Here is a 27,958-nt window from a genome sequence, read left to right on the forward strand (position 1 = left end):
TACTATCTAAACCACAGTTCAAATTCAGATTACGTCAATTGTCCCAATAATGTCCTTTACATTTTGTATTGCTTTTTTCTCAGCCCAGGATCCAATGAAAGATCAATCATTTATTGCATTTAATTGCATTTAGCTGTATGGCCCTCCTTTAACCTGGAACAGTTCTGCCTTTCTTTGACTTTTTGGACCTTAGCAATTTTGAAGGGTACTAGCCAGTTGCTTAGCAGACTGCCCCTGATTTTGAGTTTATCTGGTATTTCAGGATTAGGTTTAGGTAAATTTTTTATGACAGGAAAATCACAGAATTGATGTTGGATCCTTTTCAGTGTATCTTGTCAGGGAGCAGGGAGCACATGGTGACATATGCCCCAATACTGGTATGTTAGCTTTGATCTCTGCAAAGGCAGTAAATGGCCTCTTGGTGGAGGCTGTCCTCTGCTGGTTATTCTCAACATTGCATCACTTCTTGGCCTTTTGGCTAAGATCAAGTGTATTCTCAACATTGCAGCTGCTATGCCTCTGCTGATGTGATTGACAAAGGACCAGATGCCCTGAGTACGAACTCTGACACTTCACTGGTTGTGTGACCTTAGGCAAGTTATTCAGCCTTATTGAACCTCAATTTCCACATCTCACAGGATGGTTGAGGGCGAAGGGGTCCCACAGAGATGGTCATGCAGTGTATTCCTAAGCTAAAGTCTACACTGGCTGCTATGACTTCTAGGCGGGCAGGGCCTGGTGGTCCCTGGAGTGGTAAAGCTGCTCTTCAGGACTCACGTCCACTACCTGCAAAACCTCCAATGGGCTTGGGCTCTGCCTTTGTCGCTGTTGTGAAGGAACTCTGGGCAGCCCTCATGGAGAAGGAGGCCTGGCCTTTAGTGTTTCTGCCCTGTGGGCCCATCTGGGGGTCACCACTGGTGTGTGTACCAGCTGTTACACCGGCATCCACTGGTGTTACAGCCACACAGCTGCTCCCAGGCTGATGATGCCCCTGTGAGACTGAACACAGCTCCTGTGTGGCAGCCAGGAGAGGAGGCGCATACATCCCTTGACTCCCACAAACCAGGCATCAAACAGGTTTAATCCACGGGGCTTTCACCTGAACTAACCCAGGGATTCTGTCTTAAAAGACGGAGTGCAAACTCCGCTCCTACCTAGACTTTAGGTTTCTGTCCACATTTTCTGTACAACCTCAGAAGCTTAGGTGCACCCCCACACATTCCTTCCTCCTTGCCTGCCTGCCTTCTTTCCTACTTTTAATAACTATTTATGGAGCACCAGGCACTGCGTTAGGGCTATATGGAGAGCACAATATACAACTTGCCCCCACAGAGCTACAGTTTATTGGGTAAAGGAAACAAGCTGAGCAACAATTATATCACACCTGAGATCCCTGGGCTGTCTGAGCAGGCATTCAGGTCCCACCGGGCCTCTTGGCTGCACTTATCACCTCCCAGGTGGCCCAGAGCTGCCGCCTCCTCATTATCACTTTATATTTATTCAGTGCTCTCCTAGGATGCCAGCGAGATGCATTTTGTAGGCCCCAGGGAGAAGCTCAGAGACGGGGAACTATGAGAAATAAGCAGATCAAGAAGGAGAGAAAGAAGAGAAACATTTCTCAGCATAAACATGATTAGTTGTTTCTTTTCTTACTCGAATTTACTCTTCAGAACAGAGGCATTTGCAGTAGTGAACTTGAGCTTTCTCTGTGGGGTCTCCATATTTTTGGTATCTTGAGATTCCTGGGGATTGATGACTCAGTAAATGCTGAATATAAAGTGAACCTCACTTGGTAAAGCTGGCGCTGCAGATTAGGTTGTAAGAGGTGGGGCTTCGCAAAGCGGGGAAGCAGCCCTCCCCAGAAGAATGGGGAGGGAAGTCACTTTTCATCCATGTGTGAGATACCATTGCCTGATTCATTCTGCTGCACAGGCTTCTTCTGAAGGGAAAATGAAATAAAACATGGGAAAGGGCCATGTACATTTGTATAGAGATGCGCTATACACCAACAGACACACGGAGAACATGTTTGAGCCAAAAAATATAAATGAGGAGTTCTAATGTAATTTTACAGTGGTTTATTAGGTAGCAACCACACTTATCTCACTGATTAGGAGGTTAGAAGAATGCTGCCGTGGTCAGGGCCTGTGCTAGGTTTACAGGATCTGATTCACACCTTCCCTGATCCCTCAGCCATGTGTATAGTACACTCTACATACAAAGGATGCTGGGGAAGAATGTGAATGGAACATTCACAAACATATTATTACTACTGAAAGAACAAGAGGTACGTATTCAGGCTATCCAGATATGCAAAAGGCCAGCTGCTAGTTGGAAAACTATACTAGAAAATTCCAAGAGAGTGAGGACTATGCTGTCTTAATCACCACTGTATACCCAGAATCTAGTGCTATACCTGGCACACAGTAGGCACATAAAATAAATTAGCTGCACAGAAAGCCCACTGTGACTAGTTTATTCTATCACTGTAGGATAATTTTTGCTCAGGAATTGACAGGAGAATAGAGTTTTATGTTTTCTCATGATCATATCCCCCAAGCAATATTTTGAAATTATGCTGCAATTTATAGCTTTGCTTTCATTGGTGAATAATTCACAAAATCCTTTAGAAATTAAAACTCTGGGCTGGGCGCAGTGGCTCACGCTTGAATCCCAGCACTTTGGGAGGTTGAGGCAGGCAGATCACGAGGTCAGGAGTTCGAGACTAGCCTGGCCAACACAGTGAAACCCCATCTCTACTAAAAATACAAAAATTAGCTGTGTGTGGTGGTGGGCGCCTGTAATCCCAGTTACTCAAGAGGCTGAGGCAGGAGAATCGCTTGAACCCAGGAGGCGGAGGTTGCAGTGAGCCAAGGTTGCACCACTGCATTCTAGCCTCGGCGACAGAGCTAGACTCCATCTCAAAAAAAAAAAAAAAAAAAAAAAAAGAAATTAAAACTCTGTTTAAACAAGCAATAGATGGTAATACTGAAGGCATTTAAGCTATTGCCCACTGAATTCTTGATTGACAATGTCAAAACAACCACCATAGCTAGGAACAAGATATTCAGGAATGCAACAAAAAATGAAGATAGAACAAAACAAAACCCCCCAAACTAAAACTATCTTAGCTATACTTACAAAAACAGGTGCTAACTTGTATTTTGCTGAAGTCCTAAAACTGCCTTCAGGGGCAGGCAAGCAATCAGTACATTAAACCACCACCCCCTCAAAAAAAAAAGTCATAATAATAGAACTAGCCTCTGTCCTGAGCTTGGGAGGGCAATAACTTCCTGGATGGTTCCGCAATATCTGCTTCTCAGCCATCTGTTTCCCTGATCCCCCCACATCCTGTTCAACCAACACTGTTCTGGTAACAGGAATCCCTGCTTCTGCTTTATGTTATCTTTTCAGCTTCCTGTCATGTTTCTGCAGGAGTTTGATTTAGCCTTATATGTGAGCAGGCACTTTTAAGTATGAGGGAAGAAATGGGCCACTGGGCATCAAAGCAGGGGCTGAAGGGGGTCACCCCCAGTGCGGGGGGCAGCAGGCACCATGGTCTGGCATTGCTCTCTGGTTTTTGGGGCTGAGAGCCCAGCATTCCCAGTGGGTCACTTCCATGGTTTTTGAAAGCTACCATTTATTGAGCACTGTGCTAAGTATTTTACATGTTATATTATCTCACTGTATTAACCTCACAGACATTCCATGAGACAACTTTTTTCTTTTTCTCTCATTTACAGATGAGGAAATGAGTCTCTGAAAGTTGAGTGTCGTGACCTTTCATACAGTTCAGAAGTGGCAGAGGTAGAGGTGGAAGTTAGGCTGGCTCTAAAGCCTGTGCCCTTAGCCATTTGGTTCTCTGGCCTTCCCTGTGCTTCTCCATGTCATCTCTGGCAGCATTCCCAATCTTACTCCTTTTCTATTCTCCTTCCCTGTAAGTCTCTGAGTTGCTTCCCAGCTCAAGGTGACATCCATGCACAAACTACATATGACATTCTCCATCCTGGCTTTGATGGGCTACAGCTGACTAGCCCTGTTTACCCCCCCACATCCCTGCCCAGCATCTTTGCAGTATTTTGCCCCACAGCACTTTTTGCCAAGGGGCTCTCCTCCTCCCTGCTTTCCCACCCTCCCAGTTCACCTTCCCCTAGACCTCCTCAGCCCTCTTGGCTCTGCCAGTCCCAAGGAAGCTTTGCTCCCCGCCGCCCCACACCACACGAAGCTTCCCAGCCTACTGAGACTTTAGTGACTGCTCCCTCCTTACCGGTGACGCACTGGTTCCCAGGGCCCCTGGTTTGAGTGTTAACCACGTGCCACTTTATGGTACTCTTAATACTGCTGACTTTGCTATGTTATTTTTCATGTGCTAGTGCTTCCCACAATTAGATTATAAGCTCTTTGAGTGCCAAGTGTCTCCTTTTGTACTTTGTGACAGTTTTCTTAACACGTACATCAGTGCTTTACACACACAAGGAGTTCAGAAATATCTGTTGGTTTCTGTGTGATTACACTCATGAGAGACTGATATCAGCACTGTTAGCCAGGATCACACTAAAGCACAAGTGCCACACAGCTGACGTTAATCTTCAATGTCTACCGCCTCCTTCTCAGGGCCTTCCTCTTCTGCCTGCAGGCTAAATACCTTGGTCTATGCCTACCACGCAAGTCCCCACCTCAGGACTGGTCTGACTCAGTGCTGTGTACCTGGGCTGCCTACTGTCGTGGTTGTGGGTGTCTCCAGAGCGGAAGTGTCTGGGTTTGTATCCCAGTTCTGCCACTTCCTAGCTGTGATCTGAGCAAGCTACTTAACCACTCAGAGCCTGTTTCCTCACCTGTAAAATGGGAGGTAACAGTACTTTCCATCATTAATCAAGTATTTACTGAGGACCAGGCATTTGTTTCATTATATGTCAGGCATTATTCTAGGTGCTGGGTATAAAGCAAATTCTCACCAACAGGGAGCTCACATTCTAGTGGAGAGACACAGACAGGTAATGAAGTAAACATAGTGTGTCAGAGAGTGGTAAGTGCTGTGTAGGAGAGTAAGTGGGTGGGTGATGAATGGTTTTAAAGAGCAGGCTAAGGAGGCACTGGAATACAGCCCCATGGGTCAGTAATGATTAAATGAGCAAATGAGTGTAAGCACCTAAAACACTGCTTGGTACATAGTTAAGTGCTGAAGAATTGTTAGATATTAGGTATCAGCAATGTATATATGATATTTTTGTAAATAGAAAAGTATCAAATGTTTGTTATAATAATGTTGAGATAGAAGCAATGATCCACATGTTGTTATAATTGTATACTCTGTGGGTTGTCCTTTTTTTTTTTTTCTGAGATGGAGTCTCACTCTGTTGCCGGGCTAGAGTGCAGTGGTGTAATCTCGGCTCACTGCAATCTCCGCCTCCCCGGTTCAAGCCATTCTCCCGCCTCAGGCTCCCAAGTAGCTGGGATTACAGGCGTGTGCTGCCACACCCAGTTATTTTTGTATTTTTAGTAGAGACGGGGTTTCACCACGTTGGCCAGGATGGTCTCAATCTCCTGACCTCGTGATCCACCCACCTCGGCCTCCCGAAGTGCTGGGATTACAGGTGTGAACCCCCACGCCCAGCCGGGTCGCCCATTTTAAACTGACTTTGCTAACCAATTGATACTTCGGGAGCACCTTCCCTGGCCACTCCTCCCACTGGTTACCAAGCCCACTTGCTTTTGCTTTTAACTACCAAAATACATGCGCTTTAGCAAAAGATACAAAGGTAGGTTGCTTCCTACTCTTAGCTCTCTTCTGGATCTTTTATTTTTATTTTTTATTTTTTGAGGAACAAACTTACTACTTGAAAGTGGATTAAAATTCTAATCCTAAAATGTGACCTGTATTAAATATTGGACCTTTGCAACTTACAGAGAAAATTCAGGCAGACGCTGCTGGGTGCGAGTATCTTTTCACCTACCACAAACACTATAACTTTGCCAGATTTATTTATATATTTCCAGTTATTTATTTATTTATTTTTCTTTCCAACTTTTATTTTAGGTTCAGGGGTACAAATGCAGGTTTGTTACATGGGTAAATTGTGTGTCATGGGGGTTTGGTGTACAGATTATTTCATCACCCAGGTAATGGGCATCATACCTGATAGACAGTTTTCTGATTCTCACCCTCCTCCTATCCTCCACCCTCAAGTAGGTCCCAGGGTCTGTTGTTCCCTCCTTTGTGTCCATGTGTACTCAATGTTTAGCTCCATTTATAAATGAGAACATGTGGTATTTGGTTTTCTGTTCCTGCATTAATTTGCTTAGGAGCCAGATTTATTTAACAGTAAACTCTAAACTCAGAACTCACTCACACAAACACAGTTAAAGATGCTACTCAAGTATCCAGAGTCCATCAGGACCTCAATTTCTGTGGAAATTGGTAAGAATACCAAAAGAAAAACTAGTTTTCGATGCTCTTAATACTTCTGACACCAAAATGTGTAGGTTTTCCAAACTAAGTACTTGTACTTCTTTAGTTCTCTGCAGACACCAATTAGGATCTTACCATTTAACTCAATTCTGATACTAACTACCTGGAATTAGCACAAACCCTACAGGTTAAGGGATCAGCCCCATAAAACTGACCCCCACTTCAGATGCCAATCACAAGTCTCAGGTCTCCTGTATTCCTGACTGACCAGCTATAAATTGGGGGTTCCCCAAATTCCCTCCTCAGGTTCAAAAATTTGCTATAATGCTTCTCATAACTCAGTGAAACACTTTGCTTACTCTGATTAGTTTATTATGGAGAATAAAACTCTAGGAGCAGCCAATGAAAGAGATGCATAGGGCAAGGTATGTGGGAGGAGGTGAGATGCTTCCACACTCTCTGGGCATTTGCCTTCCTGACATGTGGATGTGTTCACCAACCTGGAAGCTCTCTGAATAACGTTGTTTAGGGTTTTTGTGGAGGTTCCGTTACATAGGCATGATTGATTAAATCAGGGGGCATTGGTGATTGGACTCAGTCTCCAACTCCCCTCTTCCCAGAGGTCAGACGATGGGGCTGAAAGTTCCAACCCTCTAATCGTAAGCTTGATTCCTCTGGTAAGCCGACCTCATCCTGAAGCTGTCTAGCTCCCCCACCCCCACCCAACCTAGAGTTACCTCATTAGCATTACAAATTACATCTTATCTCTCCAGAAATTCCAAGGGTGTTAGAAGCTCTTATAGCAGGAACTAGGGACCAAGACCCTAGTTACATTATAAAAAAACAAAACAAAAAAAACTCCTGTCACCCCTATCACTCCGGAAATTACAAGAGTTTTAGGAGCTCTGTGCTAGGAACTGGGGCAGAGACCAAATGTATTTTTCTTATTTTGTCACAAGTACATAAGAGCCTTACTCGACCTTCAAATCATCATTTGCCTCTTGAAGGTCGTTCTTCAACACTGAGGGGTCTGGGGAGGGTAAATCGGCTGTCCTCCCTTGAGACTCCCTCAGGGATCCTTCTAACCCAGATTCCATTGAAGTTCAGAGATTAGAGGACAGGAATCTCCTGCAGAGGCCAGGAGCAAAGCCTCCTCTGACCTCACCAAGGAGATGACCAATAAGGGAAAGGCCTGTAGAGAGCTCTGTGAAACTGTGGGTGGATGTCTTCGATTTCTCTTTAGAGATAGCCCTTGGATGCAGATGGAGTTCAGAGGTGGTGGTAAAGAAACCTTCAAAAATGTCCACGGTACACATCACGCTGTTTGCCCACACTAAATACCGTAGCCCCAAAGACTACAGGGGCCTTTCAACATGCAGTTACTGGGTGGTGAAATGTTAGAGCCATTTGAAAAGTGAGCAAACGTCTTGGAATCACATTTTGGCATGAGGTCACTCTATTTGTATTTGTGTCTACAGTTGTCCCTCCATGAGGATGCTAATAATAACCACCACCAAATAAAAAGAATTAGCATTTACTGAGCACTACACATATACTTAGCACAGTACTCCCTGTGTTGTGCTAAGCACTTAGCATACCTTATAATCATCACAAAAATTTAATGAAGTAGGTACTATTATTAGACCCATTTTTACCATTATTATGCCCATTTCACAGAAGAAGAATCAATTAGATTGCTCAGAGAGTTAAATATCTTGCCTGAGGTCACCCAGCCTGTAAGCATGAGAGCTTGGGTGTGTGCTTTCTGCACCTTGTATTTAACCACTGTACCAGTCTGCAATAACTGAGTCACTTGCAAAGGAGCACCTTCTAATTCCACCTGGAGGCAGGAGCCAAGCAAGGTTAGGGAAGCTGGGATATGCTTGAAGAGAGTGTTAGTATAGCAAGGGCTGTCTCAAAGAACAAGGCAGCAAGGGCCAGAAACAGTGTGGGCAAAGGCATTGAGGCATTAAAGAACAGAGAAGGTTCAGATGGACATTGCAATCCATCTTTGTGATGTTTTTTTTTTCTTTTTTTTTTTTTGAGACAGTCTCTCTATCACCCAGGATGGAGTGCAGTGGTGTGATCTCGGCTCACTGCAACCTCCACCTCCCAGGTTCAAGCGATTCTCCTGCCTCAGCCTCCCAAGTAGCTGAGATTACTCAGCTCACCATCTCGCATGGCTAATTTTTTTTTTTTTGAGACGGAGTTTTGCTCTTGTTGTCCAGGCTGGAGTGCAATGGCGTGGTCTTGGCTCACTGCAACCTCTGTCTCCCAGGTTCATGCGATTCTCTTGCCTCAGCCTCCAAAGCAGCTGGGATTACAGGGGTCTGCCACCATGCCTGGCTAATTTTTATATTTTAGTAGAGATGGGGTTTTGCCATGTTGCCCAGCCTGGTCTCAAATTCTGAGCTCAAAGTAATCTGCCCGCCTCGGCCTCCTAAAGTGCTGGGATTACAGGCGTGAGCCACCATGCCCAGCCAGCAATACTTTGGATATGGCTGGAGAAAGGCACTTGAGTATTGCTGAAAAGATGAGGCTGGAGGAGCAGGCAGGGACCTGAACATGAAGGGCATTTGATGTCTTGCTACAGAGTTTGATTTTTTTTTTTCCTGAAAGTGAGACAAAGTTATCTGTAACAGACACCTATGCTTACCTACCCATCAACTCATCACCACTCACTCTTGACTCACTGACTAATAGAGCTCCCTTTGTAGATCAGGAAATTTGCTCCACCCATGGCCCTGTGCTTCTCAGAGGCAACCATGGAAATCCAGTTCCCTTGCCAGTGAGTTAGGAAGAGGCATCACTCAAGTCCAGCCCATGAGTCATGAAGGCAATCTTCTGGGGCCCTGGGAAGGGTCCCCTCCCTGCTGTAGATGCACAGGGAGGAGTGTCTCTCCTCCTGCTGAGTGCTGTGGTATCTGGATGCAGTAGCCATCATGCCACTCTGAAGGCGTACAGCGTGGAAATGACAGAGCTGAAAGAGGGGAAGGACTTGGGCTCCTGGGAGTCAATCACTCAATTAACCTACCAGGAGGCACCTTCCCCAGGTTTCTTGCTGGGTGAGGTGCTAAGTGTCTTTATGACTGTGCCAGCTGAGTCAGGGCTTTCTACTTCTTAGGAGTCAAAAGCATCCCAACCAATTCTCAATCTAAACCATTAAAGCAGGAAGTCCCATGGTGACATTAGCATGTTATAAAATTCCTCCAGGAGTGTAGGAAGGTGAATGAGGAGAAGCTGGTGGAAGGAATACAGTTAGGAGGCAGTGGTCTCTTCTTCTGGAGCTATCTGCCCTCTGCAATCTTCCTTTTCCCTTCCACTCCTGAAGGGATTATTGACTATTTTGGAAATGAGGAGAGGAAAAATGCATAAAAATATTGTGTAAGTCAAGATGACATTGACAGGCAAAATACTGACTGTACTTCTGCTCTACTGTTGCTGTCAGAGAAGACAGCCCTGGCAGCCTCAACCTGGTTGGGAAGTGAAGACAAACAAAGAGCTTTTTTAACCTACATAGAAAAGTATCTCATTGTTTTTTGTTGTTGTTGTTATTATTTTTTGAGACGGAGTCTCGCTCTGTGGCCAGGCTGGGTGCAGTGGCAAGATCTCGGCTCACTGCAACCTCTGACTTCCTGGTTCAAGCCATTCTTCTGCCTCAGCCTCCCAAGTAGCTGGGATTACAGGCACGTGCCACCACGCCCAGCTAATTTTTACATTTTTAGTAGAGATGGGGTTTCACCATGTTGGCCAGGATGGTCTCAATCTCCTGACCTCGTGATCCACCCTCCTCGGCCTCCCAAAGTGCTAGGATTACAGGCATGAGCCACCGCGCCTGGCCGAAAAGTATCTCATTGTTTACTTGTCTGTCACCCCTCACTAGAAGGTAACCTAGAATATAAACTAGAATCCAGAAGATCAGGGAGTCTGTCTTGTTTTCGGTATTCCTAGTAGACATTCAACTAATGTTTGTTGAATGAACAAGAACCCTCAGCCACTACCCCAGGTCTGGCCAACGTGGCCTGGCCAACTTTACCACGTCCTCTCTACATCTTGCCTAAAGTGCCTCCTTCACTACCATTGTAAACTGTTCCTGCAAGCACTGTTTAAGACTCCTAAAGAACAAAACAGTATGGACATAAACAGCTTCTGTCCACATTTTCCCTCAGAACCCTTAGTGCTGTTACCCTCTCTAAAGCACTGTTGGCACTGAACACACAGGTCAGGGGCCAGGAGCAGGTGCTCATCCATCCATGGCTGGTGGGTAGGTGGAGGCTAACTCCTTCAGCTAAAAGGGCCCATTCTTTCTTCTCCGTCCGAGAGGGCTAGGCTGGGCTCCTCCAACACACAGACTACAGGCCTCCGGTGACAACTCTCAGTGCTGGGGAAAACACTGACCAGGGTCCGGCAGCTCTCCTTGCATCCCCGACCTTACCCCCACCACCTCTCTCCCTTTGTTCTCATGCCTCCTCTTGGCAAAGACCCTCCTCCTTTCTTAGTGGCCCTCTCTTCCTCCTACTCTGGCTTTATTCCTCCCAGGCTTCCTGTCACACTAACCTCTTTGTCTCCTCTCCCCATTCCTCAGATGACATATTTTTCATGCGCTCTGCAAGCCCAAAGCTGCCCACAGGGCCTTTCTTCATTTCTTCTGTCTCATCAAAAAATGCACTTAATTTGGATTTAACCAAGTTTCCCTCTGGGCACTTTGTTCTGTGTGCCCAGGTGGTCTGGGGGGACCATCCCTCTCCACGGAATATCCAAGCCATCCCAAGAAAGAGTCTGTGAAAGAGGCAGCTTTGTTGGGCTTGGCTGTGAGCCACCTGCCTGGGTTTTGTTCCAAGCCATACCCATCTGTGGCTCTCTGGTAACCTATCAAAACTCACGAGTGCGTACAGAGACCCCCTCAGTGGGTTTAGTCAGCTCTAGAATGGTTTCTCTGGGTGACGTATAACATTACCTCCACATCCAAGGTCAAGTTCAGGAGGCAGTACGCACAAAACCTGACAGTAATACATGATACAATACTGGAGTGCTAACGCCTATGTCCCCCACTCAGCCTCAGGGCTCCAATCTCATTTCCAGGGCTGCCAGCTCTGAGTGTCCACTTGGCCGGCAGCTTCCCCCAGCACAGCTATCCACCTGAAGTGCACTCACCATGGGCAGCCTGGCCTTGAGATCCCATCCTACCCACCCTACTTTCCTTTTAGGAGCTGTATAGCAGCAGCCTCCCTTGGCATATTCTCCCTCTTACCTACAGGGAGGTTTTGCAGGCTTGAGCTCCTCCCTGATCAAGAAAAGCAACCTGAACAGTTAAAAGTTAAGGTCTCTTCAGAGAGGAAAGCAGAGGTCACCCCAGCAGGAGATAGTACCATTTCTTTTGTGGAAAGGAAACAGGTCATGCTCCCTGCCTTTCTGCACTCTCTGCCTGCCCCTTGCCATGGAGATTCCAGATGCCCCTTTTCTCTACTTTGAGCTCGGCCTTCCACCCTCCTTCCCCAGGGCCAAACCTCTGGAGTCAGCACCCACTGGTGGGGCACTTGCCGACCAGCCCCCAGGCCATGCGAGCAGAGGAGAGGGTATCATTTAAAGGGCCCGCAGCAGCAAAGAGGCTTTCTCTCCTCTGTCTTTGACCCATCTCTGTTCTGGGTAACTTCACTAACCTGGTCCCTCTAAATCTGTGCCTACTTTGGAATCCACCAAGAGTCTGTTTCTGCCCTAATTTGCCCACATGCCAGCTCTCATCTGCTTCCCTGACCACAGTTCCAGCCTAGTGGAACCATTTCTGGTTTGGAGCTAGATTCATCTTTCAAAGCAGAGAGTGAGAAGAAAATTCTCTAACTCTTGATGCACAGAAGGAGTTCAGTAAATGTGAGTTGAATTTGATGAAGAATGAGAGAAGGGAAGACAGGAAGCAAGGGAAAGAGGGGAGAGGGAAGGAAGAATTCTGTTCTTTAGAGTGCCCTGCCATGGTAAGGACTCCAGAGTCGGGGATTCTGCAAGTTCTTATTCAAGGAGGAGGGCACTGTCTGGGAGCTCACAGCTTCTCCTGCCAGCCTCTGATGTTCCACACCTGCCTCATGAACAACTCTCCAGACCCTGAAAACACCAGGCCCACCACCTCCTGTCTTTATTCATGCTGTCTCTTCTGCCTGAGCTGCACTTTCCTCTCCTCTTCACTTTACTCATTCCTTCTTCAGGATCAGGTACAAATTTCTTCTGAGACCTTGCCACCCATCCCTTCCCCATCACAGCAGCTGGGGTCCCTTTCTATGGGTCTGTCTACCAGTCTTCGCTCCCATTCCTTCTGTGATCTTGATGGGATATATCCATCTCTGTCTATTTGTCTCTCCCTTTCACAGCTTCATTCATCCACGTATTCATTCATACTTCATTTACTGAGGGCCTACCGTGTGCAGGAAGTGATCCTCATGCTGCCAGGTAGTTTACATTCCAGTGAGGGAGAAGACTTAAAAAGCAGTTACCAGATGGAGAATGTTTTGAGAAGGAAAGTCAGGGTGCTAAAGGAATATATAACAGGAATTGGGGGCAGAACAGTCAGGGGAGATCTCCTAAGGAAAGTACACTGAAGTCGAAACTTGAAGAATGGAGAATCCCATGGCTGGGGAGAGAGGTAGGGGTGTGTGTGTGTGTGCGTGCATGTGTGCATGCACGTGTGTGTGTATAAATGCCTATGTGTACCTGGGAGGGCAGGGGTTCCTGTTCAGGCTAAGCATGTGCATGTGCAAAACCTCCCCAGGGAAAGGGACAATATGACAGGGAGGAGTCATCAGTGGAGGGAAATAAAGCTGGAGAGTTAAGTAGGAAGAGATTGTGGAATACCAGGAAGGCCATGGGCAGTGCCAGCTCCAGAAAGGAAGGGACTGTGACCTATTTGTTTTGGTATTATGGAGCCCCTCAGAGTGCCAGGGCCATACAGGTACTTGAGAGGTGTTTATTGAACAAATAAAGAAATGAAAACACTTTAACTAGAGAAACAGAATTGAAACAGAACATGGTGTCTAACAAGTGAAACAAAAGCACCTCTACAGGCCAGCTGTGCCATCATGAAGGCCATTTCAACCTTTAGCTGGGAGACCAAAAAGTACTGCATCCATCTGGCTGGCACAGGGACAAGTTTGTAATGAGGCACATATGGCATGATTTGAGTTGGTCAGATTTAGCAAAACAGGAGTGTCATTTATCCAAAGCAGGCCTATCTGGAGCCAGTGGGGGAAATCTAAGTGACATCTGCCAGAATGGGACTTTACATAGCAGGGGAGTCTAGCAGACTGTGACCCAGCTCCCTCCGAGAGGGCTGTCTCAGCTACTTCCTGCAGTCTTATGGATCTTGGAGGACCAAAGCATTTTGGAGCTGGGCAGGACCCTAGGCATCCTCTCTTATTCAGCCCCTAATTTTACAAGTGAGGACACTGAGTCCAGAGAGGCTGAGTTACTTACCCTAAGTTAAGGATAAGACCAGGCCAGGTTTCTAGGTCTCCTGATTCTATATCCAGCCTTCTTGTAAACGCATCTAAAAGGAAAGAGGGAGGGAGGGAAAGAGAGAGGAAGAGAAGGGAGGAGGGAAAGGAGGAGAGAAAGGAGAAGGGAGGGAAGGAGAAAGTATGTAGGGGAGAGAGAGAGAAGTGATGGACAGTGTTGGGGCTCAGAAAACAATACCCCAAAATAAGACATTGGCATGCTGAGTACCTCAAACTAAAAGAGATTGGAAGGCCTCAGAAGCAGCCCCAGTAGCAAGTTCTCTCTGACCTTCTCCCACCCTCATGTCTCTTGCCCCTCATTCTTCCCAGTCATAGAAATCACAATTCCTGCAGGGGATAGTGACTCATGCCTGTAATCCCAGTGCTTTGGGAGGCAGAGAGCAGGAGGATTGTTTGAGCTCAGGAGATCAAGGCTGCAGTGAGCTATGATTGCACCACTGCATACCAGCCTGGGCTACAGAGCAAGACCCTGTCTCTACAAACAATAAAAAAAAATTAGCTGGGCATGACAGCATGTGCCTGTAGTACCAATGACTTGCGAGGCTGAGGCAGGAGGATCACTCACTTGAGCCCAGGAGTTCAAGGTTGCAGTGGGCTGTGATTGCAACCACTGCCCTCCAGCCTGGGCGACAGAGCAAGACCTTGTCTCTTTAGAAAATATCATAATTCCTCTTCCCCAAGGCAAGTCATAGAAACTAGAATCCCTCTCTTCCAAATTAAGCTATAAAACCTAGAAATATTACTCTGACCTTCCCCTGCCTTTCTGTGCAGAAGCTAGCCATAAATAAATTCCCTGACCTACCTTGTCTGACTGCAGGTTATCCTTGCTCCAGAGGGGTTCTCCCCTCTGCCTGGGAGGAAGGAATGCTACACAGTAAGACCAAGAAGAATCTGAACAGACAGGCCTTGCTGGGTTCCTGCCCCTCCTTTTTGTGCAATCACATTTCTACACAGCTGTTCATCTTCATCAAATCTATGCATAAAAGTGGACAGTTTTCCCTGGGTCTTTGTGTATTCATTTTTGAAGTCTCCTGCATCATGTAAAACTTTTTTTTTTGAGACAGGATCTTGCTCTGTCACCCAGGCCGGAGTGCAGTGGCACGATCTCAGCTCACTGCAACCACTGCCTCCTGGGTTCAAGCAATCCGTGTCTCAGCCTCCCAAGTAGCTAGGACTACAGGCGCATGCTACCACACCCGGCTAATTTTTGTATTTTTAGTAGAGATGGGGTTTCACCATGTTGCCAGGCTGGTCTTGAACTCCTGGGCTCAAGTGATCCATCCACCTGTGAAACAGCTCTGTTGTCTGGGGTATATACCCTGGCTTTTGGTCTCACTTGAGAAAGAACTCAGGACATGGACACACACGAGGAGTGGGTTCAGGAGTGGAAAGTTTAATAGAAGAAAAGAGAGAGAAAAAGCTTCCTCATGCTGAGAAAGCAGGTCACCCAAAAGAGGGTCTCCGGTCTGCAGTGGAACGCAATTGGTTTTGTACAGGCTTGAGGAGGCGGTGACTGATTTACTTAGGGCTCAGGGGATTGGGTTGACCAGGTGTGCCATTCACATAGCCCAGGAAAAGACTGGCTCTCCTACCCTAGTCTTTTATTATGCAAATATGGCCTCCACCTGGTGGTGGCTATACTTGTACACGTGATTTTACCTGGAGGCTGCTGTGACACCCATAAACCTGGTGACAAGGAAAAGAGGGTGAGAGACCTGGTGACAAGGAAAAGAGGGTGGGAGATGCCATACTGAATGTACCTGGCTTCCAGCTGTCTGCATTTACATATAAAAACTCCTAGTTTCCTTATCTATGCCTTCTCAGTCTGCTTTCTGTTAGAGAAGAAATGGTTTTGGGGCTGCTTTTTATTAAAGGAAAATTCCACCGAGAACTCCCACCCTTTCTAGCTGCCTAAAAATTATTTCTTAATAACTCCTGTATTACCTTGGCCTCCCAAAGTGCTGGGATTACAGGCACGAGCCACCACGCCTGGCCTAAAACTTTGATTAAATAAATTTGCCATGCTTTTCCCTTGTTAATTTGTCTTTTGTTATAAAAGTGTTGGCTGTGAGCCTTATGATGGTTGAGAAAAGGTACCACACATTTCTACCCCTACAATGGCTTACTTCCAGACTTTGTTACTGAAATGGTTTTGATCTGTGTCCCCACCCAAATCTCATGTTCAACTGTAATCCCCAGCATTGGAAGTGGGGCCTGGTGGGATGTGACTGGATCATGGGGGTGGAATTCTCATGAATGGTTTATCACCATCCCTCCTTGGTACTGTATAATGATAGAGTTCTCACAAGATCTGGTTGTTTAAAAATGTATAGCTCCTCCCCACTCACTCTCTCTTCCTCCTACTCTGGCCATGTGAAGTGCTTGCTCCCTCTTTGCCTTCCACCATATTTGTAAGTTTCCTGAGGCCTCCCCAGAAGCCAAGCAGATGCTAGCATCATGCTTCTTGCACAGCCTGTGGAATCATGAGCCAATTAAACCTCTTTTTTTTATAAATTACCCAGTTTGGCCGGGTGTGGTGGCTCATGCCTGTAAACCCAGAATTTGGAGAGGCCGAGGTGGGTGGATCACAAGGTCAGGAGTTCGAGACCAACCTGGCCAACATGGTGAAACCCTGTCTCTACTAAAAATACAAAAATTAGCTGGGCGTGGTGGCACACGTCTGTCAGGACTCTGAGCCCAAGCCTGCATGTATACATCCAGATGGCCTGAAGTAACTGAAGAATCACAAAAGAAGTGAAAATGGCCGGTTCCTGCCTTAACTGATGACATTCCACCATTGTGATTTGTTCCCGCCCCACCTTAACTGAGCGATTAACCTTGTGAAATTCCTGCTCCTGGCTCAGAAGCTCCCCCACTGAGCATCTTCTGATCCCCGCCCCTGCCTCCAAGAGAAAAACCCCCTTTGACTACAATTTTCCACTACCCACCCAAATCCTATAAAATGGCCCCACCCCTATCTCCCTTCGCTGACTCTCTTTTCGGACTCAGCCCACCTGCACCCATGTGACTAAAAAGCTTTATTGCTCACACAAAGCCTGTTTGGTGGTCTCTTCACACGGACGTGCGTCACATTTGGTGCCAAAACCTGGGACAGGAGGACTCCTTCAGGAGACTGGTCTCCTGTCTTTGCCCTCACTCTGTGAGGAGATCCACCTACCACCTCAGGTCTTCAGACCAACCAGCCCAAGAAACATCTCATGAATTTCAAATTGGGTAAGTGGTCTTTTCACTCTCTTCTCCAGCCTCTCTTGCTACCCTTCAATCTCCCTTTCTCGCTACCCTTCAATCTCCCTGTCCTTCCAATTCCAGTTCATTTTCCTCTCTAGTAGAGACAAAGGAGACACATTTTATCCGTGGACCCAAAACTCTGGTGGCGGTCACAGACTCAGGAAGACAGTCTTCCCTTGGTGTTTAATCACTGTGGGGACGCCTGCCTGATTATTCGCCCATACTCCATTGGTGTCTGATCACCATGGGGATGCCTACCTTGGTCATTCACCCACATTCTCTTGGTGACAAGTCAACTGCAGGGACACCTGCTTTGGCTGCTCACCCACCTGCTTCTCCGTGTCTCTACCTTTCTCTTTAAACTTACCTCCTTCACTATGGGCAACTTTCCGCCCTCCATTCCCCCTTCTTCTCCCTTAGCCTGTGTTCTCAAGAACTTAAAACCTCTTCAACTCACACCTGACCTAAAACTTAAACGCCTTATATTCTTCTGCAATACCACTTGACCCCAGTACAAACTTGACAGTAGTTCCAAGTGGCCAGAGAATGGCACTTTCGATTTGTCTATCCTACAAGATCTAGATAATTTTTGTCGAAAAATGGGCAAATGGTCTGAGGTGCCTGATGTCCAGGCATTCTTTTACACATTGGTCCCTCCCTAATCTCTGTTCCTGAAGCGACTCGTCCCAAATCTTTCTTCTTTCTCTCCTGTCTGTTCCTTCAGTCTCCACCCCAAGCTCTGACTCCTTTGAATCCTCCTTTTCTATGGACTCATCTGACCTCTCCCCTCCTCCCCAGGCTGCTCCTTGGCAGGCTGAGCCAGGTCCCAATTCTTCCTCAGCCTCCACTTCCCCACCCTATAATCCTTTTATCATCCCCTCCTCACATCCTGTCCGGCTTACTGTTTCTTTCCGCAACTAGCCCTCCCCGACCTGCCCAACAATTTCCTCTTAAAGAGGTGGCTGGAGCTGAAGGCATAGCCAAGGTTAATGCTCCTTTTACTTTATCTGACCTCTCCCAAATAAGTTAGCATTGAGGCTCTTTTTCATCAAATATAAACACTCAACCCAGTTCACGGCCCATCTGGCAACAACCCTTAGATGCTTTACCGCCCTAGACCCAGAAGGGCCAGAAGGCCATCTTATTCTCGATATGTGTTTTATTACCCAATCCACTCCTGACATTAGAAAAAGCTCCGTAAATTAGATTCCGGCCCTCAAACCCCATAACAGGACTTGATTAACTTCGCCTTCAAGGTGTACAATAATAGAGTAGAGGTAGCCAAGTAGCAACGTATTTCTGAGTTGCAATTCCTTGCCTACACTGTGAGACAAACCCCAGCCACATCTCCAGCACACAAGAACTTCCAAACGCCTGAACCACAGCAGTCAGGCATTCCTCCAGGACTGCCTACCCCAGGATCTTGCTTCAAGTGCCGGAAATCTGGCCACTGGGCCAAGGAATGCCTGCAGCCTGCGATTCCTCCTAAGCCATGTTCCATCTGTGCGGGACCCCACTGCAAATCAGACTGTCCAACCTGGCAGCCACTCCTAGAGCTCCTGGAACTCTGGCCCAAGGCTCTCTGACTGACTCCTTTCCAGATCTTCTCGGCTTAGCAGCTGAAGACTGACACTGCCCAATCACCTCGGAAGCCTACAGGACCATCACAGATGCTTTGGGTAACTCTTACAGTGGAAGGTAAGTCCATCCCCTTCTTAATCAATACGGAGGCTACCTACTCCACATTACCTTCTTTTCAAGGGCGTGTTTCCCTTGCCTCCATAACTGTTGTGGGTATTGATGGCCAGGCTTCTAAACCTCTTAAAACTCCCCAACTCTGGTGCCAACTCGGAAAACATTCTTTTATGCACTCCTTTTTAGTTATCCCCACCTGCCCAGCTCGCTTATTAGGTAGAGACATTTTAACTAAATTATCTGCTTTCCTGACTATTCCTGGGCTACAGCCACACCTCACTGCCACCTTTTCCCCCAGTTCAAAGCCTCCTTCATGTCCTCTCCTTGTATCTCCCCACCTTAATCCACAAGTACAGGACACCTCTACTCCCTCCTTGGTGATGGATGATGCCCCCCTTACCATCCCATTAAAACCTAATCACCCTACTGGGGGAACTAGCCCCCAATATTTCAATGTAGGTTCTTTTCTATTTTCCCCAAGTGTCGGCCGGTCTGAGAAATAAAGAGAAAGAGTACAAAAGAAAGAAATTTTACAGCTGGGACTCTGGGGGTGACATCACATGTCGGCAGGTTCCGTGATGCCCACCTGAGCTGCAAAACCAGCAAGTTTTTATTAGCGATTTTCAAAGGGGAAGGAGTGTAGGAATAGTGTGGGTCACAGAGATCACATGCTTCCAAGGCAATAAAATATCACAAGGCAAATGGGAGTAGAGCAAGATCACAAGGCCAGGGCAAAATTAGAATCACTAATGAAGTTCCATGTCCCGCTGTGCATGCATTGTCATTGATAAACATCTTAACAGGAAACAGGGTTCAAGAGCAGAGGACCAGTCTGACTAGAATTCTCCAGGCTGGAATTTCCTAATCCTAGCAAGCCTGGGAGCGCTGCAGGAGACCAGGGTGTATTTCATCCCTTATCTACAACTGCATAAGACAGACACTCCCAGAGCGGTCATTTTAGAAGCCTCCCCTGGGAATGCATTCTTTTCCCAGGGCTGTTCCTTGCTGAGAAAAAGAATTCAGTGATATTTCTCCTATTCACTTTTGCAAGAAGAGAAATATGACTCTGTTCTGCCTGGCCCCACAGGCAGTCAGACTTCATGGTTATCTCCCTTGTTTCCTGAAAATTGCTGTTATCCTGTTCTTTTCAAGGTGCCTAGATTTCATATTGTTCAAACACACATGCTTTACAAACAATTTGTGCAGATAACACAATCATCACAGGGTCCTGAGGTGACATATATCCTCAGCTTATGAAGATGACAGGATTAAGAGATTAAAAGAAAGACAGGCATAGGACATTATAAGACTATTGATTGGGGAAGTGATAAATGTCCATGAAATCTTCAAAATTTACATTCAGAGATTGCAGTAAAGACAGGCGTAAGAAATTATAAAGCTATTAATTTGGGGAACTAACAAATGTCCATGAAATCTTCACAATTTATGTTCTGCCGTGGCTTCAGCCAGTCCCTCCGTTTGGGTTCCCTGACTTCCTGCAACATCACCCTTACCCTGCTCAATGCCAATATCCCATCCCACAGCACGCTTTAAAAGGATTAAAGCCTGTTATCACTTGCCTGTTACAGCATGGCCTTTTAAAGCCTGTAAACTCTCCTTACAATTCCCTCATTTTACCTGTCCAAAAACCAGACAAGTCTTACAGGTTAGTTCAGGATCTGCGCTTTATCAACCAAATTGTCTTGCCTATCCACCCTATGGTGCCAAACCCATATACTCTCCTATCCCTCAATACCTCCCTCCACTACCCATTATTCTATTCTAGATAAACCTAGCTGACCCCATAGATCCTAAATCCTTTCCCCACTCCTCTTTCCATTCCTTAAAAACAGCCCTAAAAGCTGCTCCCATACTAGCTCTCCCTAACTCATCCCAACCTTTTTCATTACACACAGCTGAAGTGCAGGGCCGTGTGGTTAGAATTCTTACCCAAGAGCCAGGACTGCGCTCTGTAGCCTTTCTGTCCAAACAACGTGACCTTACTCTTTCAGCCTAGCCCTCATGTCTGTGTGTGGCAGCTGCCGCTGCTTTAATACTTTTAGAAGCCCTCAAAATCACAAACTATGCTCAACTCACTCTCTACAGTTCTCATAACTTCCAAAATCTATTTTCTTCCTCACATCTGATGCACATACTTTCTGCCCTCTGGCTCCTTCGGCTAAACTCACTCTTTGTTGAGTCTCCCACAATTACCATTGTTCCTGGCCTGGACTTCAATCTGGCCTTCCACATTATTCCTGATACCACACCTGACCTCCATGACTATCTCTCTGATCCACCTGACATTCACTCCATTTCCCCATATTTCCTTCTTTCCTGTTCCTCACCCTGATTACACTTGGTTTATCGATGGCGGTTCCACCAGGCCTAATTGCCATTCACCAGCAAAGGCAGGCTATGTTATAGTATCTTCCACATCTATCGAGGCTACTGCTCTGCCCCCTCCACTACCTCTCAGTAAGCTGAATTCATTGCCTTAACTTGGGCCCTCATGCTTGCAAAGGGACTACACATCAACATTTATACTGATTCTAAATGTGCCTTCCATGTCCTACACCACTATGCTGTTATATGGGCTGAAAGAGGTTTCCTCACTACTCAAGGGTCCTCCATCATTAATGCCTCTTTAATAAAAACTCTTCTCAAGGCTGCTTTACTTCCAAAGGAAGCTGGAGTCATTCACTGCAAGGGCCATCAAAAGGCATCAGATCCCATCGCTCAGGGCAACGCTTATGCTGATAAGGTATCTAAAGAAGCAGCTTAGCGTTCCAACTTCTGTCCCTCACGGCCAGTTTTCCTCCTCCTCCTCTTCGGTCACTCCCACCTACTCTCCCACTGAAACTTCCACCTATCAATCTCCTCCCACACAAGGCAAATGGTTCTTGGACCAAGGAAAATATCTTCTTCCAGCCTCACAGGCCCATTCTATTCTGTCGTCATTTCATAACCTCTTCCATGTAGGTTACAAGCCGCTAGCCTGACTCTTAGAACCTCTCATTTCCTTTCCATCGTGGAAATCTATCCTCAAGGAAATCACTTCTCAGTGTTCCATCTGCTATTTTACTACTCCTCAGGGATTGTTCAGACCCCCTCCCTTCCCTACACATCAAGCTCAGGGATTTGCCCCTGCCCAGGACTGGCAAATTGACTTTATTCACATGCCCTGAGTCAGGAAACTAAAATACCTCTTGGTCTGGGTAGACACTTTCACTGGATGGGTAAAGGCCTTTCCCACAGGGTCTGAGAAGGCCACCGCGGTCATTTCTTCCCTTCTGTCAGACATAATTCCTCAGTTTCACCTTCCCACCTCTATACAGTCCGGTAACGGACCGGCCTTTATTAGTCAAATCACCCAGTTTCTCAGGCTCTTGGTATTCAGCAGAACCTTCATACCCCTTACCATCCTCAATCTTCAGGAAAGGTAAAATGGACTAATGGTCTTTTAAAGACACACCTCACCAAGCTCAGCCTCCAACTTAAAAAGGACTGGACAGTACTCTTACCTCTTGCCCTTCTCAGAATTAGAGCCTGTCCTCGAGATGCTACAGGGTACAGCCCATTTAAGCTCCTGTACGGACACTCCCTTTTATTAGGCCCCAGTCTCATTTCAGACATCAGCCCAACTTGAACTGCATCCCCAAAACTTGGATAGAGCCTAAAAACTTGCCAACCAAACAAGTAATTATGCTGAACCCCCTTGGGCACTCTCACATTAGATGTCCTGGGTCCTCCCAATTCTTAGTCCTTTAATACCTGTTTTTATCCTTCTCTTATTTGGACCTCGTGTCTTCCATTTAATTTTTCAGTTCATACAAAACCACATCCAGGCCATCACCAATCATTCTATACGACAAATGCTCCTTCTAACAACCTTACCACAAAATCTTCCTTCAGCTTAATCTCTCCCACTCTAAGTTCCCACACCACCCCTAATCCCGCTTGAAGCAGCCCTGAGAAACATCACCCATTATCTCTCCATACCACCCCCCAAAATTTTCACCGCCCCAACACTTTACCACTATTTCATTTTATTTTTCTTATTAACATAAGAAGACAGGAATGTCAGGCCTGAGCCCAAGCCTGCATGTATACATCCAGATGGCCTGAAGTAACTGAAGAATCACAAAAGAAGTGAAAATGGCCGGTTCCTGCCTTATCTGATGACATTCCACCATTGTGATTTGTTCCTGCCCCACCTTAACTGAGCGATTAACCTTGTGAAATTCCTTCTCCTGGCTCAGAAGCTCCCCTACTGAGCATCTTGTGACCCCCGCCCCTGCCTGCAAGAGAAAAACCCCCTTTGACTGTAATTTTCCACTACCCACCCAAATCCTATAAAACTGCCCCACCCCATCTCCCTTCGCTGACTCTCTTTTCAGACTCAGCCCACCTGCACCCATGTGATTAAAAAGCTTTATTGCTCACACAAAGCCTGTTTGGTGGTCTCTTCACATGGATGCACACGACAGCATCAGTAATCCCAGATACTTGGGAGGCTAAGGCAGGAGAATCGCTTGAACCCGGGAGGCAGGGTTGCAGTGAGCTGAGACTGTGCCATTGCACTCCAGCCTGAGTGACAAAGCAAGACTCTGTCTCAAAAAAGTAAAAAATAAAAATAAAAAAATAAATAAATTACCCTGTCTGAGGTATGTCTTTATAGCAAAGTGAGAATGGACTAATACAGCTAGCAATATAGAATAAAGCTCCAGTTCATTTAAGCCTCAGTTGCTCTGTGTTTTGTGTTTTCTGTGTTTCACTCACTTAGTTCAATGTAATTGATGCACCTTCTTTCTTCTTCCTCCTTCTTCATTCCCCAAAACTTCAATGAGCTTCTACCCACTCAGCTCCTGTTCCTGGTCTCTCCTTCCTTTTTACTTCTCTGTTGCTTCCAAATTTTGCCTCCAGATTTACTAGAGAGCCATATTAATCCATTCTCAGTTCGAATTACTTTAAATTCTCATTCCTTCTCCAGGATCCATCTTGTTGCAGCTCTGAGACTGCTGGGTCCCACCCCTTCAAGATTCCTAGCCAATCAGGCTCCACTTCTCTCCCTTTAACCAGTCCTGTAAGTAAGCCATATCAGGTTGGGTTGTAAACATTTCTTTGTTTTCTGGCTTGCAACTTGGAGCCACATTCTCACATTCTAGGTGCCATCTGTAATGAGTGGTACAGTGTGGGTACCAGCCCAGCAGAGTGGTGGGTAGCCTGCTCAATGAGAATGGGCTCTGGCCCTTACTTCATGTTAGTACCTATGAGCTCAGTATCAGCCCCAGTCATAAATGTACCTGAAGAATTAATTGATCCATTCAACACTCACATGAGTCATGTTCAAGGCTCTAGCATGGACTCTTGTTAGGACAGTATCTACAGGGTCTTTCCATGTATCATTATTGTTCGCCACAGGCTTAGAAATGACAAACGCTTGGCCAGCAAGTAAGATCATCCAGAGAAATGGGGGAAGGGATGGCCCCTTTCTTTCTCTCTTTATGCTCCTGGCCTTAGTCTGTTTTGTATTGCTATAAAAGAATACTGGAGACTGGGTAATTCATAAAGAAAAGAGGTTTGCTTAGCTCACAGTTCTGCAGGCTGAGAAGTTCAAGGGCATGGCCCTGCTTCCCGCAAGGGCTTTTGTGCTGCATCACAACATGGCAAAGGAGATCAAAAGGGAAGTGGACATGTGTGAAGGGGGAGAAAAACCTGAGGAGCATCCTGTCTTTATTACAACCCACTCCCTGGAAACCAATCCATATCCATGAGAAGTAATCCAGTCTAGCAACAGTGAGAACACATGTACTACTATGAGAGTAGCACGAAGCCATTCATAAAGGATCCACCCTCATTACCCAAATACCCCCCACTAGGTCTGACCTCCAACACTGCCACACTGGGGATCAAATATCAACATGCATTTTGGTGGGGACAAACTAACTCTATGCAAACCATAGCACCTCTCCATTACTAGTGTTGAAAAACTTGATACTAAGTAGCCCTCCCCTTTCTAGTCATTTATAGTCTGCTACTGAAGATCTGAGAAAAACGGGATGCTAACCTTACCATTCTACAAACGCAGTTATTATACAATTACACTGTCAGGGATCCAGAAGTAAATAATTTGCATTCAAGGGCAGACATTCCAAGCAAGGAGGGCAATTTCAGCCGGTGTATTTGCTACTGGTTGTGACTATCTACCTGATGTCTTGAGATATAATAAAATGCACAGAATGGATCATTTCAAGGAAAAAGTGGGCAAAGACCAAAAAATAGTGAAATAGTGAAATAAGGAGCATCCCAGTGGACCTCCATGTCCTTCAGATGAACTGGGACACATTCTGAGTCTAGTTCCAAATTTCAGTTATTTAGTTATAAATAAACAAAGCAATGGCAAATAAAAACTAAAAAGTGCCAGGCGTGGTGGCTCACGCCTGTAATCCCAGCACTTTGGGAGGCCGAGGCAGGTGGATCACCTGAGCTCAGGAGTTTGAGACCAGCCTGGTGAAACCCCATCTCTACTAAAAATATAAAATTAGCTGGGCGTGGTGGCATGTGCCTGTAATCCCAGCTGCTCAGGAGGCTGAGGTGGGAGAATCGCTTGAATCGTGGAGGTTGCAGTGAGCCGAGATTGTGGCACTGCACTCCAGCCTGGGCAAAAAGAGTGAAACTCAGTCTAAAAGAAAATAAAAAGAAAAAAACTAAACTAAACTAAAAAGTGGGCAATGTATCTAGTTAGATTCAGAAAGCTGAATGACAAACAACAAGATCTCAATTGGGACAAGGATTGCTGATCTCATCTATGGGTCTATAACAGGAACATACCATGGGGAAACAGCAGAAGTTGTGAAAGCTTAGATACCTCTGGCTGGAGGATTTTCTTTATCAATCAGCTTGGTACTCAAGTATGGTCATTGCCTAACTGAGGTCGTGGGCCTGATCCTTCTGACTCAGAAGAAGGAAGGCAGCCAGGAGTTATTCATCTGCCTCTTTTAGATTGGACTGAATCTACATTCTGTTAGACACCATTAGCAATATAACTTTTCTTCCTCAGTTCCCTCACAAAATGAGAAGTAAAAGGTCATAGTTTCCTCTGAAGTAATTTTTTTGGGCCAATATATCAGATTGATTCTGAGCTTTTTGATGGAGTTTTGAGATTTGCTTATTAAGGATTTAAATTCATGCTAATAACAGAAGCCCAAGTGGAATAATGAGAGCTTGAATACCTAAGCCCTAAACCAGTGCATTTTAAACTTTAGTGCAAATGAGTCACTGAGGGGATCTTAGTAAAATACAGATTTGATTCAGCAGGCCTAGGGTGGGGCCGAGAGCCTGCATTTCTAATCTGCTCCCAGGTCATGCTGATACTCCTGGTTCATGGTCAGCATTTTTGCAGGAAGGGCAGAGGGCATTATTTTCAAATTTGGCTACATATGAGAATCACCTAGGGAGTTTAAAAAAAATGCTGATGCCAGGGTCCCATCCCCAGAAATTGTGATTTAACTGGCCTCAGGGTGCATCCTGGGCATCAAGATTCTAGAGCGTGGTAGAGTTTGAAGACCGCTAGTCTAACAAGTCTGCTCCCAGTTGCTTGCTGATTCTCTCCTGATTTCTTTTCTAGGAGAAACTGCTGTAGTCCAGGGTATATGTGAACTTGGGGACAGGTGCCTGGATTCAATCCTGCTGCTTTCCCTGTGGTTTGCCTTCCCATCTGGGAATGGGGCAATGATCCTGCCTACCTTAGAGGGTTGTTATGAAGATTAAGTGAGGTCTGATATACATGAAGAACCCAGAAAAGTGCCTGGTGTGATGCGTTATTACTTCATTATTATTTTCAACTGCTAAACAATTAAGATTCACTAAGCTTTAATAGATGGTTATTTGTTGTGAGGCCCACGAGTGGGGCTCAGAATGCCTTTCCTTCCAAATATGCTTACCAGAAGAAGTCATCCTACTAGTTTGTTGAGAACTTAAAAGGCAGAGATGTCATTCTGAGGGGAAGAAATTTAAGACCTACTCCCCCAAACTGGGTCACTGAAAGCAGGAATTAGGACACTGAAGATCCACTTCTACTTCCACAAACGCATTCAGGCATCATTTATGGAGTGTCCACTGTGTACATGATATTCTGCCAAGCCTTGGGGAGAATTACAAAACAGTTAGAAAGCACGGATGTTTAGCTTTCAAGAGCTTCTGGTCTAATGCAGAAGATAAGCTAGGCACATAGTCAAGTAGCTTCCTTATTGCCTACAGGACTCATTCATTTGTTCAATCAATATTCAAAGCTACTTGTTGTGAGCTAGCCACAATGCTAGGGACTGAGGTTACAAAGATAAAGGAAAAGAAGACGTGCTCCCCCCACTTTCCTCCCACTCCCCCAAGATGCTTATTGTCTGGGAGAAGAGATAGAAAACCACACAGAAAATTATAGAGCTTTGAAAGTACCTTGGGAATCCAGGAGTCCCTCCCCACCACCAGCAGACTAGGCTGCAGAAGAATGTCTGGGAAAATTCTCGGAGGAGGTGACATGGGGCTGCTCAACCCCAGGCTCCTTAGCCTTGCATTTGAAGCGCTTCCGGATCTTTGCCCCACTGACTTTCTCAGCTGTATCTCTTAAGTCAAGCCCATTTCCTATACTCATTCATGCTCTGCTGTCTGACTTTGCTCAAGATTGCAAGGTCCATGGCAGCAAGGACAGCATTTGTCTTCTTCACCAAAGGGTCCCAAGAGACTTGTGGAGAGCCTGGCTAGTCTCAATGCTTAAATGAATGAATGTGGTCTTTTGTTTGTGCAGGGACAAGCCTGACCAGCCTTGAAGACCCAAGTAAGGCTCAGCCTTTGTTTAGCCATCTCAACAGCAGAGACAGGTAACTGCCACTTACAAGATACTCCTACATCCTTCCTGAGCCCTACTAGGCTTGGAAGCCTGGTCAGCCAGGCAACCAGCCATGAGATCTGGAATTGGTGGTGCTGCCTGCCTTAGACACGATATACCTGCATCTGCCTCAGTTTTCCTTCATGACTAGACTTCTTCTCTGAATACCACTCTACCAGTCTAAGTCTTTCAATCAGCCTCCCAAGCCTTCCCCTTTCGGGA

General features: G+C 46.1%; 1 protein-coding gene across 24 annotated transcripts in view, besides 3 other annotated features; it reads right to left on the minus strand.

The window, feature by feature from the left end:
* BCAR3 (BCAR3 adaptor protein, NSP family member) overlaps positions 1-27,958 on the minus strand; it is a 286,411-nt gene that overhangs the window by 252,007 nt on the left and 6,446 nt on the right. Inside the window, exon 3 of one of the 24 annotated variants that reach the window (NR_178014.1) lies at positions 26,799-26,998. The exons of the other annotated variants lie outside the window; for them this stretch is intronic. The gene's annotated coding sequence lies outside the window, so the exon portion shown is untranslated. The remainder of the gene's footprint in view (positions 1-26,798; positions 26,999-27,958) is intronic. 24 annotated transcript variants of the gene reach the window in all.
* Positions 326-866: an enhancer, noted in NCBI's record as "H3K27ac-H3K4me1 hESC enhancer chr1:94279629-94280169 (GRCh37/hg19 assembly coordinates)". NCBI's record gives its function as "activates a minimal SCP1, AML or CMV promoter by ChIP-STARR-seq in naive H9 embryonic stem cells {active_cell/tissue: H9 hESC(naive)}" and the evidence as "EXISTENCE:reporter gene assay evidence [ECO:0000049][PMID:30033119]".
* Positions 19,374-20,012: an enhancer, noted in NCBI's record as "OCT4-NANOG hESC enhancer chr1:94298677-94299315 (GRCh37/hg19 assembly coordinates)". NCBI's record gives its function as "activates a minimal SCP1, AML or CMV promoter by ChIP-STARR-seq in naive and primed H9 embryonic stem cells {active_cell/tissue: H9 hESC(naive and primed)}" and the evidence as "EXISTENCE:reporter gene assay evidence [ECO:0000049][PMID:30033119]".
* Positions 25,633-25,833: a silencer, noted in NCBI's record as "peak325 fragment used in MPRA reporter construct". NCBI's record gives its function as "represses an SCP1 promoter by STARR-seq MPRAs in K562 erythroleukemia cells {active_cell/tissue: K562}" and the evidence as "EXISTENCE:reporter gene assay evidence [ECO:0000049][PMID:32103011]".

Source organism: Homo sapiens, chromosome 1 (assembly GCF_000001405.40).
Source record: "Homo sapiens chromosome 1, GRCh38.p14 Primary Assembly".
NCBI classification, from domain to species: domain Eukaryota; kingdom Metazoa; phylum Chordata; class Mammalia; order Primates; family Hominidae; genus Homo; species Homo sapiens.